At 46.3% G+C, this 13,595-nt stretch overlaps 1 protein-coding gene across 35 annotated transcripts in view; it reads left to right on the forward strand.

The window, feature by feature from the left end:
* Positions 1-13,595, forward strand: part of GRAMD1B (GRAM domain containing 1B) — a 269,346-nt gene that overhangs the window by 164,151 nt on the left and 91,600 nt on the right. For 5 of the 35 annotated variants that reach the window (NM_001286563.3, NM_001387028.1, NM_020716.4 and 2 more), the window contains exon 1: positions 3,054-3,599. The exons of the other annotated variants lie outside the window; for them this stretch is intronic. In NM_001286563.3, coding sequence (NP_001273492.1) covers positions 3,577-3,599 — 23 coding nt within the window. In that variant the 5' untranslated portion in view covers positions 3,054-3,576. Of the gene's footprint in view, positions 1-3,053; positions 3,600-13,595 lie in introns of those variants that run through there. 35 annotated transcript variants of the gene reach the window in all.

Genomic DNA, 13,595 nt, shown 5'->3' on the forward strand with positions numbered 1-13,595 from the left:
CCTCCCAAAGTGCTAGGATTACAGGTGTGAGCCACCATGCCCAGCCGAGATTTTCTTTACGGACCACAAAAATGGAACCTGTCCCCAGGGCCCTGTGAGAAGCTCTGTTTCAGAAACAAGAAAGAGCCAAGGGGAATTCGAGGCAGATGATGATCGCTCAACCCACTGGGCTCTCCTGTTCTTCCTTCCCTTTTGGGTTCCTCACATCACACACAGACACTCAAGCCAGCCAACTCATCAGTAATAGAAGAGATTTAGTCTTGATTTAGTCTCTTTTTTAACTGTTACCTGGATTCTTTTTCTCTTGGGAACATGTAAGCTTTTGTAAACCAGTTTGTCTGATAGAGAAGGAGATTTTTTATAAACATACATAGTGAATAAGAGAATAGGTTTTTGAGCTGGGCACGCCTGCATTCAAATTCCAGGCTTGCAGCTTGCTAGCTGTTTGACATTAGGCAAATTAAGGCACTACAGTTAGGCTGGGCGCGGTGGCTCATGCCTGTAATCCCAATACTTTGGGAGGCCGAGGTGGGCGAATCACCTGAGGTCAGGAGTTCAAGACCAGCCTGGTCAACATGGTGAAACCCCATCTCTACTAAAAATACAAAAATTAACCGGGCATCGTGGTGCGTGCCTGTAATCCCAGCTACTCGGGAGACTGAGGCAGGAGAATTGCTTGAACCCTGCCGGCAGAGGTTGCAATGAGCTGAGATTGCACCACGGCACTCCAGCCTGGGCAACAGAGTGAGACTCCATCTCAAAATAAATAAATAAATTAAAAAGACACTACAGTTAGTCTTCAGTGTCATTATCTGAAAATCATGAGGTACTGCCTTATAACATGGATGTGAAGATTAAGTCAGAGAATACAGGCAAAATGCTTAGCTTGATGCCTGACATAACTAACCCTCAATATACTCCTATTAATAGCTGAGAAGGAGTTGACTTTTTGGATTTTTGTTTTTGTAGTTAAAAAAAAAACAGCTAGAGCAAAAGCCAAAAAAATTTACAGTTACAATAATGTTTCTAATATAATACTTGGAAATCTTTGATCCAGGTTTTCTGTGTTACTTGTGATCAGAGCAGTTGATGGGCCAGGATGAGAATACAGTATTCACGTGTACCTGGAGTACTCTCAGTGACATTTGCCTCGGGGCTGGATCACATGACCTGGTATTTCCATTGAGTGAATTATCTAGGTCATAAAGGACAACTCTTTGTACTTCTGGAATCTGTTGCATCCCTTCAATATCTGTGCTGAAAGTATGGCCTGGGTACAGGCTCCAGGAGCTTTGAAAACATAATTTTGGATGTGTTCAGAAGTCCTGGCAGCATTTGGGTTTGTCTGGCATGGGGCTATGGATAGATCAATTCCACAGCCAAGGGCTGCTTTGGGAACACCTTTCTGAAAACTCAGTATACCTTATTTTTTTCTTTCTTTCGTTTTTTACTTGTGGAATCAGGTCACAAAAGGTTAGTATATCTTAAAGAGTGTTTCTTCTGGACCACGTGGACATTGGAGAGATAACATGGTGTTTTAGTTCGGTTTGAGTAAGGTCACTTAAACGCTTGCTTATAGTACCCTACAATCCCCAAGCCCTCCTCCTCAGTGGGGATATAGAGATTGCTGAATGACACACAGTCCTTGTCTCCATGGTGCTTATCCTCTAAAAAGAACAAAGCAGATAATAAGTCATTACAAGTATGATGACTGTTACCAACGAGGGTCTGCACTCCAGTTTTTATTTTTATTTTATTTTATTTTATTTTATTTTATTTTTTGTTTGAGACAGAGTCTCACTCTGTCTCCCAGGCTAGATTGCAGTGGTGGGATCTGGGCTCACTGCAGCCTCTATCTCTCTGGTTCAAGCAATTGTCCTGCCTCAGCCCCCCGAGTAACTGGGATTACAAGCACATGCCACCACACCCAGCTAAATTTTGTATTTTTAGTAGAGACGAGGTTTCGCCATGTTGGCCAGGCTGGTCTCAAACTCCTGACCTCAAGGGATCCGCCTCCTTGGGCTCCCAAAGTGCTGGGATTACAGGCATGAGCCACTGTGCGTGACCAAAGGAGAAATGATTGGTTTTTCTCACTTTAGAGGGTCAAGTATAGATGATGTTCATACGACACGAGGATGTCTGCAGATTGTTTTATGGGCAAATTTTAGGGTAAAGGCTTATTATGGTTCAACTGTTTTGGAGCAAGTTTCTGGGTAAAGCTTTATTATCATGGTTCAGTTGAAGGTTGCTATTTCATAATTAATCTCTTTGTTCGTTGTCACCCATCCGCATTACTGACCCAGATAGTAATGTAGGGAAAGATAGAAAGGGATCATATAGCCAGGGAAGTTGTTGGTGTTGGAACTCCCAGGCCCCAGCCTGGAGGATCTGATTTAGGAGGAGCCTCTTCCCCATTCTCAGTGAATTGTTACTTTCCAGCTAGAGTTGAAAATCCTGGTCCTGCCTTACTGGGTGCTGTGGCTGGTCTGCATCTTCTTGGAGCCCAGGATTGGTGATCATGTTGCCTAAATCCTAAACCAGGCCTTTGTGGTCACCTTAAAAGGATCCCTTGCCCCAGGTGACAATGTGCTGCCCTGCCACCAGAAGTTGCTGCCTCACCCTGCGTCCCAGAAGTCATGGCAATTTCCCCAGCAGGAGGAGAGAGCTGTGCATTCTGTGTGCAGCACACTGCCTGGGAGCACGCAGCCCTGCTTGCCCCGCCTTGCGGGGTGAGGGTTCTGTTTAAGGTGGTCTTGTGCGCCTAGATGTCCCAGGCACTCACCACGGGGCCTCTGAGTTCTGCTTGGATTCCAGAGGTGTGCAGAGGACCTAGGGTCCAGGTTCCCCTCCCCCGCAGGGGTGGGGCATTTTAACCCCTGAGTGGATGCTGACAGAAGTGCTCAACTTCAGATATTTCTGCCCCCTCCTCTTCCTTCCTGGCACCACATTCCTCACGCACCCTCTCCCTGATATTCTGTCCCATCCTGGGACTAAACATGTGCTGTGTCTTTAAATGGGCGGAAGTGGCTGGCAGTGCTTTGCTTGGGTACTGCATTGATTAGGAGATTATATGGAGCTGCGGGAGCTGCCGCCTGGGGGAAGAGAGGTGCAGCTTCTGCTAGGTTTGTGCTCTCCTCCCAGGGTCTCCTTGGCTTCCTTCCCCAAAGCAGCTCAGAGCTGGTATGAGGTGAGGGTGGGGGGCAGCCGGCCAGCCTGGCTGTTGACGGCAACTCCAGGGCTTGTTTCGCGCAGCCTTGCCAGCATTACCCATCCTCATCAGAAACTGGCAGCGGCAGCCACAGCTCGGGCAGGCGGCTCCAGCCCCAGGCTGGATTTGCAGAATCTGTCCTTTGCCTCCAAGCCCAGCTTTCAGCTGGGAGAGGGGGAAGAAGGGGCAGTGGCAGCAGTTCTTCTGGCTCTTTCTCCCTTTCTCTCTTTCTCTTTCTGTGTTCAAGTCACATTACATGGGATTCTGTTCTTTTGGGACTTCGTCATCTTTTCCAATATGTCCTGGGACCTCCGGAGCTGTAACGGGGATGCTAAGGACACGGTCAGTGGATTATCGTGACTGTACTAATGAAAGGATTCAAGCTCTCCTGGTAAGTAGAGGAGGGATAGGGCACCTTCCTCTTCTGCCTTTCTTCAGCCCTGTGCTCGCCCCAGCACCCTCAAGAGGTCTCCTTCATTGATGCCATCTCACCAGGCATCGAGGGGTTAAGATGTGGGGACTAGGCACTTTAAAAGTTGGGGTACTCTCCCTGGCTCCCCCAGCTGCTGCACTGCTGCACTATTTTCCTTACCTTCTTCGAGGTCGGGGGTTTTGTGGAAGTTGAGGGGCAGTGGAGAGAATCAAATTGCAGCTAAAACGTTCTCCAACTTCGAGTACGTGAGGAGTGGTGCGCACAGAGGGAACTTTATAATAAAGAAACATCCCTTCCCTTTGGCGAGGTGTTGTGCGTCTGCATCAGGCTGGGGGTGCAGTTGTACTCTTCCTTAGCCCTGACCAACACGTGATTTTGAGGGAGGGTGTGCGGGGGGCCTTTCTCACGTCAGCTGCTTAGGGCGGGCAGTCCCTAGGGGCATCCCTCTGAGGGGCCAGGCTCCATCTTCTAGGATGCCTGGTGTCCAGAGGCGAGTGGACCGCTGCCTACCCCAACACAAGCACTCACCTTGGGCCTTTGCAAGTGCCTGTTCCTGGGCTTAATCTTGGGACATTAAAGGCATCTCTCGCTTGGGGTGTGGGAGTAGCTGTATTCTAGCTACAGAAGTAGTCAGAATATTTTTACCTTCCATTTAAAAAATAAAACCTTTACCTCTCTCTGTTTTTTGACCCAATAAGGAGATTGCACGGGCAGGTGAATTGGCTTTTCATCTGGTGGAGAAACTGCAGATTTTGCTTGGAAAACTTTGCCATACCAGTGATCCGGTACCCCTGCAGGGTGGCATGTGCAGCTGCCTGAGGCCTCCTTCAGAGGAGAAAGGCTCCTTGGACTGAGGAGGGAGCTTTCTCCCTGAAGAGGGTGGAGGGTGGGAGGAGGAGGATGAGCTTGGGAGAGCTCCCAGCAAGGATGAGTCCTGCCTTCATTGCGGCTGGCTGTCCACGCGTGGGGTGGGGTGGCGGCAGGTCACATCTCTGAGTGAAAGGTTGATTTTCAGAGTCAGGGATGGGTGTTGAGCGATTTGAGGCATGGGGTCCTAACCTGGCTCTGGGCCACATTTGGCCTTCCAGGCACCCCTACCCTAGATTAAACCCTGAGAGAATGTCTAGTCCAGCCCTCCTCCTGTAGGGAACAGGGCCCTTTAGTGGGTCTTGAAAAGGCACTTTGCAGAAGGCAAAGGGAGGTGCTTAGTTTCTGCAAGTGTAACTCTCAAGAACTGCGAGTTCCCAGGAGGTGATGAACATCAGTTATCCCCCAGCCGGGAGTTTCTTTTCCTCAAGCTTTGCTATCCCTCTCTCTTACATTTAGTCCTTGCTTTCTTGGGGTCTGGTACCCCATTCTTTCTGGGTGGGAGGCTATTAGCAGTGTTTATTGTCACTGGGAGTTCCAGGTCCAGACCAGCAGCTAAAGCTCTTCCTTATTCCTCAGTAGAGCCATGCTCAGTCTGTAGCTGGGATGAGGCCTCCAAGAAAAGCCCAGGTGCTGCAGGAACACTGGGCTCTTCATCAGAAATCTCTCCGCATCCTTCCGCGCCCCTGCTGTCAGCACACCCAACTTGGGGCTGAGGGGTAGCTTGGCTGTCATTCAGGATGAGACATCACTTTAACAGAATGCTCTCAGCTCAGCCTGGGTTGGTCCTCAGGGATGTGCAGAGATGTTTGCCTTTAAAAATCTGCCTTGAGCATCTCTTGATGCATTTCAACAAGGAGAGCAGTGTTAATCTGGGAACTGTAATTGGGATAATTTTGTCTTCTTCAGAAATTTTACAAGGATGGGAAAATGTTGTCATTTATCTCTGCCTTGATACTGTTAGATCCTGTGACCCACTGTCTCATTAAGTACAGGTCCATTTTGGTCCAGGGGCCAAACCTTGTAGTTGTGGATGAAATGCGGCTCCCTTTGGCAGTATCCCAACTGGTACTCCCTACTCTCTGGTACTCAGGTACTGATAGGGTACTAATGCTGATACTCTGGTACTGGTACTCAGGGTACTCCCTACTCTTCCAACAAGGAGACTTGATAGAAGCAAGATGACCAAATCTATTGACTACCTTGGTAGCACTGTCTACATATGGAAGAGAATGAATTTAATTAAAATTATAATGTTTGAATTATTTCTAGAAACAACTCTGGAATGCCTACTATGGGTTGGTGATATATAAAATGATGGTAAATACTGATAAGAACAATGGTGACTAACATTTGCTGAAACTATGTATCAAGCACCACAGTAAACTCACATGGAGCTCACAGTGTTATGATAAGAATCCCCATTTTATCCCCATTTTATGGATGGGGAAGCAGACACAGAGTTTAAGTGGCCTGCTTGAAGGCATGCAGATAGGAACCAGGCTTTGGGCTTACAGCAGGGTAAGTTTCCCCAGTGATTCACCTGTCCCTGGTTACTCCTCTTCTCTAGTATAATTTCCGCTCTGTGTAATGCCGTGCTAGACACCGGCTTTTTTTTTTATGTTCTGTTGTCTCTTATATTCATTAGGTCAGTTAGTTAGACTTTTAAAAGTGTGTATAAATATGTTATCTCATTTGATTCTTACTATAACCTCATGAAGCAGCTGGTGTCTCCATTTCAGAGGTAGGGAAATGGAGGCACAGAGTGGTAAAGTGAGATTTGATTAAATTAATGCAACTAGTTGGTGGGGAAGCCAGGATACACTCTTACGGCTGAACTGATTTCAGAGTGGGGACTAACTACCACGCAACAGCATGGTGTGTCAGTCAGGCCTTCTTTCCCAGAGAGCAGGCTCAGGGTCTGTCCATTCATTTTCTCATCCATTTCTTCATTCTACAAATGTTGATCAAGTATTATTTTTGCAGCCCCGTTGTCTAGGCATTGTGAAGTTAAAAAAATTTAAAGGGCAATGCTTTGGCCTTTTAGGGGCTGGTAGCCTCACAGATGGAAGGAGGCTCTCTCACACCTCCGACACATGTGTACACGCAAGTCAGTAAGTGTTAAGGGACAGATAAGTGCGGTGAACAGCAGACACTCTAGAAATACATTTCAGCTGGCATGACAGAGGAGTCTTATTGGAGTAATTGAAATGTGAGGGAGGTTCAGAGGCTGGACAATTAGGTAAGTAAAGGCTGTACTTCACACAGCTGTACCTCATGGAGTTATGAGAGTATCACTGAGGATGCTTTTGGATGAAGATGACCGTGACATATGTCTATGACTGACAAGTGGTTGGACTTTGAGATAGAAATCTCCCCCAGTGCAACCCCTCTCTCTCAATAGGGTAAGAGCTTTAGGCTGTCTCCAAAGAGGATTCTATGATTTCTTCTACTGGTAACTTGGTGAGCAAGGTAAGGGCAGTGGTGGAGGAGACTGAGAGAGGAGGTGGCATTGACAAACAGATGGGACTGCGGCCCAAGACTCTGTGGGGCATGTAGTGATTTGGAAGCCAAGAAATTGGTTTTTTAAAGAGTAACTCACCAATCTTCCGCAGCTTCTACATGGTTATTTTTTTTCTTTTGGTGACGCAAAGATAGTCCTAATTCCTGTAGAGCCTTGGAACCTCAAACACTAAGAAGGTCTCCAATTTTGTGGGGCTGCTCCACCTCCAGATGGTTCTGGCCCCCATAGGACTAGGCAGACTGTAGTGACATCTGTCTGAATTCCCTGTCCTCGTGTTCCTGGCCCTCACATCTGCTGGGCTTGGTAATGCCGTCTCCAAAGAGCCTGGGGGCTGTGACAGACCTTCAGGAAAGTCAGTGTGCTGGAAGAATTTGATTCTGGAAAAAAAAAAGGTTGAGAGAAAGTATAGTTCTTGACAGAGAGCAGGTGAAGCATTTCTGTGGAAAAGGGCTTAGTCCTCAGATGAGGGGAGTTTCGAGTTTCTCCATGTTCGAGTGGGTGAGTGAGCAGTCTTGCTACTTTCACACTGTTTAGGAGGATAAGCACTGTGTGACAGAACCTACTCACATTCTTCACAGGTAGCTGGGAGGGTCCATTTTTTTTTTTTTCTACTTCTCCATATTTCATGACCATTAATGGTCAACAATATTTTATTTGATAGTAAATGTCAGTTGCCTACTGTACCCATTCTTTTCAATCTGTTGGCAAGTGGGGTGCTGTTCATTCTTTAGCTGTTGCCTGGACCAAATTATCTATTCCTCTAGATTTCTTTTGTCTTTTCTGTTTTTTTGAGACAGAGTTTCACTCTTGTCACCCAGGCTGGAGTGAAGTGGCGAGATCTTGGCTCACTGCAACTTCCCCGTCCCCCCGGATTCAAGTGATTCTCCTGCCTCAGCATCCTGAGTAGCTGGGATTACAGGCGCCCGCCACCACACCCAGCTAATTTTTGTGTTTTTAGTAGAGACGGGGTTTCACCATGTTGGCCAGGCTGGTCTCAAACTCCTGACCTCAGGTGATCCACCTGCCTTGGCCTCCCAAAGTGCTGGGATTACAGGCATGAGCCATCGTGCCCAGCCTCAAGATTCTTTCTGTAAGAGGTCTGCTCCAGAGGAGGGAGCCCTAGACATGGCCCCTGCACACCTCCTATAGAGCCAGGCTTCCCAGCTATGGAAACGTTTATCAGGAGGTGAGTTGCGGTGAAGGTTGGGGTCACTTCATGGCTTGAGACTTTGGAGAGCTGACTCCTGAACCAGAACCCTGTAATCACCTTTTGGCCTGCTGTGTGGCCCTGGTAGGTAACTTCTGTTTGCCTTGGGTGGTGGTGGTTTTGAAAGTGGGATTAAATGAGTGTTGGGTGGATTAGTTGGTCTCTCAGCTTCCTTTTTAGTAATGGTTTAGAAAAAGGCCACAGTCCTGATAGAGCAGGTTGCTAGTGATGTGGACTGTTTGCGTTCTTCTGTAGCCAGCAGGGGACACTGAAAGTAAACATTCATTTGAAACTATTAAATATTCATTTACAAACATCGCACAGCAGGCACACCCTCCTGCGAACAGTGTGAGATTTACTTTATTATTCTGTGGGATGGGAATTGGAGTTTTCCCGTGGTTCGGTAAGTCCAGGACACTGAGCGCTGGTCATCTAGGCATTTAAATCCCTTGAGTGAGAAGGACAGCTCAGGGCGAGGACTGAAACTTCTGACTCTACAGATTTCTTAAAAGGATAAGCGTTTCTCACCTCTCATTCACAGTTCTGCTTTGGTAAACTGTACCTGGCTTGAAGTAAGCAGCAATAAACATTATTTGCTTTGTTGTGTTATTGTCGTCATCATTACTACTCTAAGAAGAAAGAAAGAATGTAACTTTGTAGCTGGCAGAGATTGTTGCAGATCAGATTATGAGTACCTAAGGTTCATTGCTGCTGCTGGCTCGAAGCCCTTCCCTCCCGGCCTTCCTGAGGCTTGTTGTCATCAAGTTTATTATTGCTGGAAGAGACGGTTTAGGGTTTCTAATGAGAGAACTTGAAGACACTTCTCATCTCTTGCTGAATTCTTCGGAAGACTGGACATTTGTCCCCTAAATGAGTTATTAAGGTGAAAGGATGTGACGGACTACATATTGCTAGATGGTTTTTTTTTTTTTTTTTTTTTTGAGATGGAGTTTTGCTCTTATTGCCCAGACTGAAGTGCAATGGTGCGATCTCGGCTCACCTCAACCTCCGCCTCCCGGGTTCAAGTGATTCTCCTGCCTCAGCCTCCCAAGTAGCTGGGATTACAGGCATGCACCACCACGCCTGGCTAATTTTGTATTTTTTTAGTAGAGACAGGGTTTCTCTATGTTGGTCAGTCTGGTCTCAAACTCCCAACCTCAGGTAATCTGCCCACCTCAGCCTCCCAAAGTGCTGGGATTACAGGCGTGAGCCACCACGCCCGTCCTGTTTATTAATTCTTAATGCTATTCTTTGGTTTGTGTTTGCAGAAAGATGTTGAACTAAACTGGGTTATGCCATGATAATACCATTCCCTCCCCCTTTCACCCCAACCAGCTTAACTCATGCTAAATTTAGTTCTTGATCACTCCAAGTCCCCTCAGGCTCTGGAAAACTCTCCAGGAAGGCTATCCTGCATGTGGCAGGCAGCTCAGTGATCCAGGCAGTAGAATGTCATGGCCCTTCTACCGCAGTGGTCAGGGTGGGGTGGGGAGGAAGGCGTGGCTCTTAATGCTCCTCCCTGAAAGTGAGTATACTGTCCCTGCACTTGCCCCACATTGGCCAGAGCTAGTCACGTGGCCCTGCCTGACTGCAGGAAAGCTGGAAGATGTGGCTTCTGAGTGCAGGAAGAGGGGAGAACTGGAAATATGAGTGAGCACTCATCATACATACCACTACTGCACAGCTGCTCTTATTGGTAGTGTGGGCACGGGCTGATGCCTCTTCCTAAGACACAGCAGCACTTCCTTAGTGCCTGTAGAATGAAGGCCATTATCCAAGATGTCATGGAAGACCTCATGTGACCTTACATTGTGGTTTGACACACCATAGCCAACAGGCCAAATTCGGTTTGATGCCAGATTTTATACAGTTCTTCCAAACTAAGAATGTTTCTTTACCTTTTTAAATGGTTGAAGAAATTAAGAGAAGGATAATATGACATGCAAAAATTATATGAAATTCCATACGTTTTATTAGAACACAGGCATACCAATTTGTTTATATGTTACCAATGATCACGTTCATGCTACAACAGCAGAATTGAGTAGTTGCAACAGGTCTATGACTGGCTGATCTAAAACATTTATTATCGAGCCCTTTACTCAAAGTTTGCTGCCTCTAGTTTAAGCAAATAGAGATACTTCTCAAGTGCAACAAAATATGTTTTTACTGGATAAAAACAAGTTTTGTTCTTGTTGCCCAGGCTGAAGTGCAATGGTGCGATCTCGGCTTATCACAACTTCCGCCTCCCTGGTTCAAGCGATTCTCCTGCCTCAGCCTCCCGAGTAGCTGGGATTACAGGCATGCACCACCAGGCCTGGCTAAATTTGTATTTTTTTAGTAGAGACAGGGTTTCTGTGTGTTGGTCAGTCTGGTCTCAAACTCCCGAACTCAGGTGATCTGCCCGCCTCAGCCTCCCAAAGTGCTGGGATTACAGGCGTGAGCCACCGCGCCTGGCCTGTTTATTAATTCTTAGTGCTATTCTTTGGTTTGTGTTTGCAGAAACTTAGCTAGCAGTCCTGTTCTAGGTACTGTAATGGTAATGTGATGATAAGGATACTAATAATATGTCTAACATTTAATTCACTCTATATTTTATTTATTTATTTATTTTTATTTTATTTTATTTTTTTAAGACAGAGTCTGGCTCTGTCACCTAGGCTAGAGTGCAATGGGGCAATCTCAGCTCACTGTAACCTCTGCCTCCTGGGTTCAAGTGATTCTCCCATCTCAGCCTCCTGAGTAGCTGGGATTACAGGCGCCAGCTACCATGCCAGGTTAATTTTTGTATTTTTAATAGAGACAAGATTTCACCATGTTGACCAGGCTGGTCTTGAACTCCTGACCTCAAATAATCCACCCGCCTGAGCCTCCTGGAGTGCTGGGTTTACTGGCGTGAGCCACTGTGCCTGGCCTCAGCCTATGTTTTAAATCTTATAAACTCATAGCAATTTTTTTAAATCTAGGTACAGATTATTCAGATTTTACAAGTGAATAAACTAAAGCACAGAGGAGCCAAGTACTCCAAGCAAGGTCACACAGCTCAAAAGTGTTTGAGCTGGTAGTCTGACTTTAGAGTCCATGCTCTTAACTACCACAATTACAAAGCAACTGGAAGACAGGTCTTTGTCTATGAGAAGACATGAGACTAATACGAAAAGTTTGAGGAATAGTAATTTATGAAGACAGCATTTAATGGTTTGAATTACAGATGACCCTTGACCAACTTGGTGCTTAGGGGCACCAACGCCCATGCAGTCAAATCTGTGTGTAGCTTTTGACTTCACAACATCTTAACTACTAATTGCCTACTGTTGACCAGAAGCCTTACTGATAACACAGTCAATTAACACATTTTTGGTATTATGCATTATATACTGTATTCTTGCAATAAAGTAAGTAGAGAAAAGAAAATGTTAAGAAAGTCATAAGAGAATATATTTACTACTCATTAAGTGGAAGCAGATTGTCATAAAGGCCTTCATCCTTATTGTGTTCACATTGAGTAGGCTGAGAAGGAGAAAGAGGAGGGGTTGGTCTTGCTGTCTCAGAGGCGACAGAGGTGAAAGAAGATTTGCACGTATTTGGACTTGCACAGTTCAAATCCATGTTGTTCAGGGGTCACTTGTACAATTGCCAAAGATGTGCAAGAACAGAGATGGAGAGGTAGTAATGGGCAAAAGAAATTGAGAAGGGCTGAATGAAGGAGATGGGATGTGGGTTGATCCTTGGAGAATGGAGTCCACTGAGATTTCAAGAGAGACGAGCAGGCCTGGCGCAGTGGCTCATGCTTGTAATCCCAGCACTTTGGGAGGCCGAGGCGGGTGGATCACATGAGGTCAGGAGTTTGAGACCAGGCTGGCCAACATGGTGAAACTCTGTCTCTACTAAAAATAAAAAAAAATTAGCTGGGCATGGTGGCAGGCGCCTGTAATCCCAGCTACTCTGGAGGCTGAGGCAGGAGAATTGCTTGAACCCAGAGGTGGAGGTTGCAGTGAGCCAAAATTGTGCCATTGCACTCCAGCTTAGGCAGCAAGAGCGAAACTCCATCTCAAAGAAAAAAAAAAATAATGAGGGGGTCTCAGGCAAAGGAGAAGCAAGACTGGGCCACAGAAATCAGACTGAGGGCCTTGGGAAGGGAGGGAGCTGAGCAGCCTGGTCAGGACAGGGATATGTGGCCATGCAAGGGTAGACGTTTAAGTGGCAAAACAGGGCTCACCTACAGACAACCTCAAAAGTGAGGCAGAGGCCTGGGCTGGCTAGACTCAGTGGGAAAAGCCCTCAGGCTCAGGACAACCAAAGAGCATGGAGATGCACTTTCCAATTCAGTGGGCAGGACGCTTGGGGCTGAGAACTGGAGTACACACGTTCTTAGTGTGGGAAGAGCTTTAGAAATTACAATCATGATGCTTCTGTGAGCTTTCCATTTAAAAAAAAAAAAATCTCATACAACCTTAATACAACCCTACAGGAAAGATGTTTTTTTTTTTTCCCCCATTTTATATGTTAGGAAACAGAGTCTCAAACAGGTCTTAAATAACTAGCCCAAGACCATATAATAAATGGCAGAACTGGGATAAAACTGAAGAGGTGATGCTCTAAAGCCTGTGCTCTCGACCTCCACACTCCTTGATGAGTGAAATGTTGAGCTGGTAGGAATCGGTAGCTTTATATTTCACAATTGAGAGAAGGTTTGCTGAGGGGGTGAATCATCCTTTTTGGATGGTGGTGTGCTCTTTATCAGTAGGTGATGCAGTAGAAGATAGTTTCCCCAGTCTACCTTCCCTCATAGTGAGCCATGGTGGATGTCACAGCTGATCTGGTGGCTGTCACTTCAGGGCTGGGTTAGGAGTGATTACAAAAAAATTGTGAAATATATCATGCATACACAAAAATGTATATAATGTATCCATACAGTGTAAAGATGAACATTGTCTGTTCACCGTTCAGTTAAGCATTAGAACATTGCCTATACGTGTGAGGCCTTTTTTTTTCTCTTTTAAAAATCTATGGCAATATGCAAAGGCTGGGAGGACAAGCCCCAGAGAATGGAAATCTTGGGAAATGAGCACTGAGTAGGTTCCTGAGTCTGGGTTTCAGAGTCTCCCACTTGGAGGTGGCAGGCTATGCTTCTCAGCAGGTGCCTCGTTGTTGCAGTGTGGGGATAAATGGCTGCCCAGAACACAGAATACCCTCCCTTCAGCTATGTGGCGGGCCTCTGGGGACAGATGCACATGGTTCTGCTGCTCACTACTGGTGTGACTATGGAGAAGTCACTTACTGTCCCCAAGCCTTGATTCTCTCATCTGTAAAATGTGGTTGTCCAGGCGTGGTGACTCACACCTGTAATCTCAGC

Source organism: Homo sapiens, chromosome 11, assembly GCF_000001405.40.
Source record: "Homo sapiens chromosome 11, GRCh38.p14 Primary Assembly".
Classification (NCBI taxonomy): domain Eukaryota; kingdom Metazoa; phylum Chordata; class Mammalia; order Primates; family Hominidae; genus Homo; species Homo sapiens.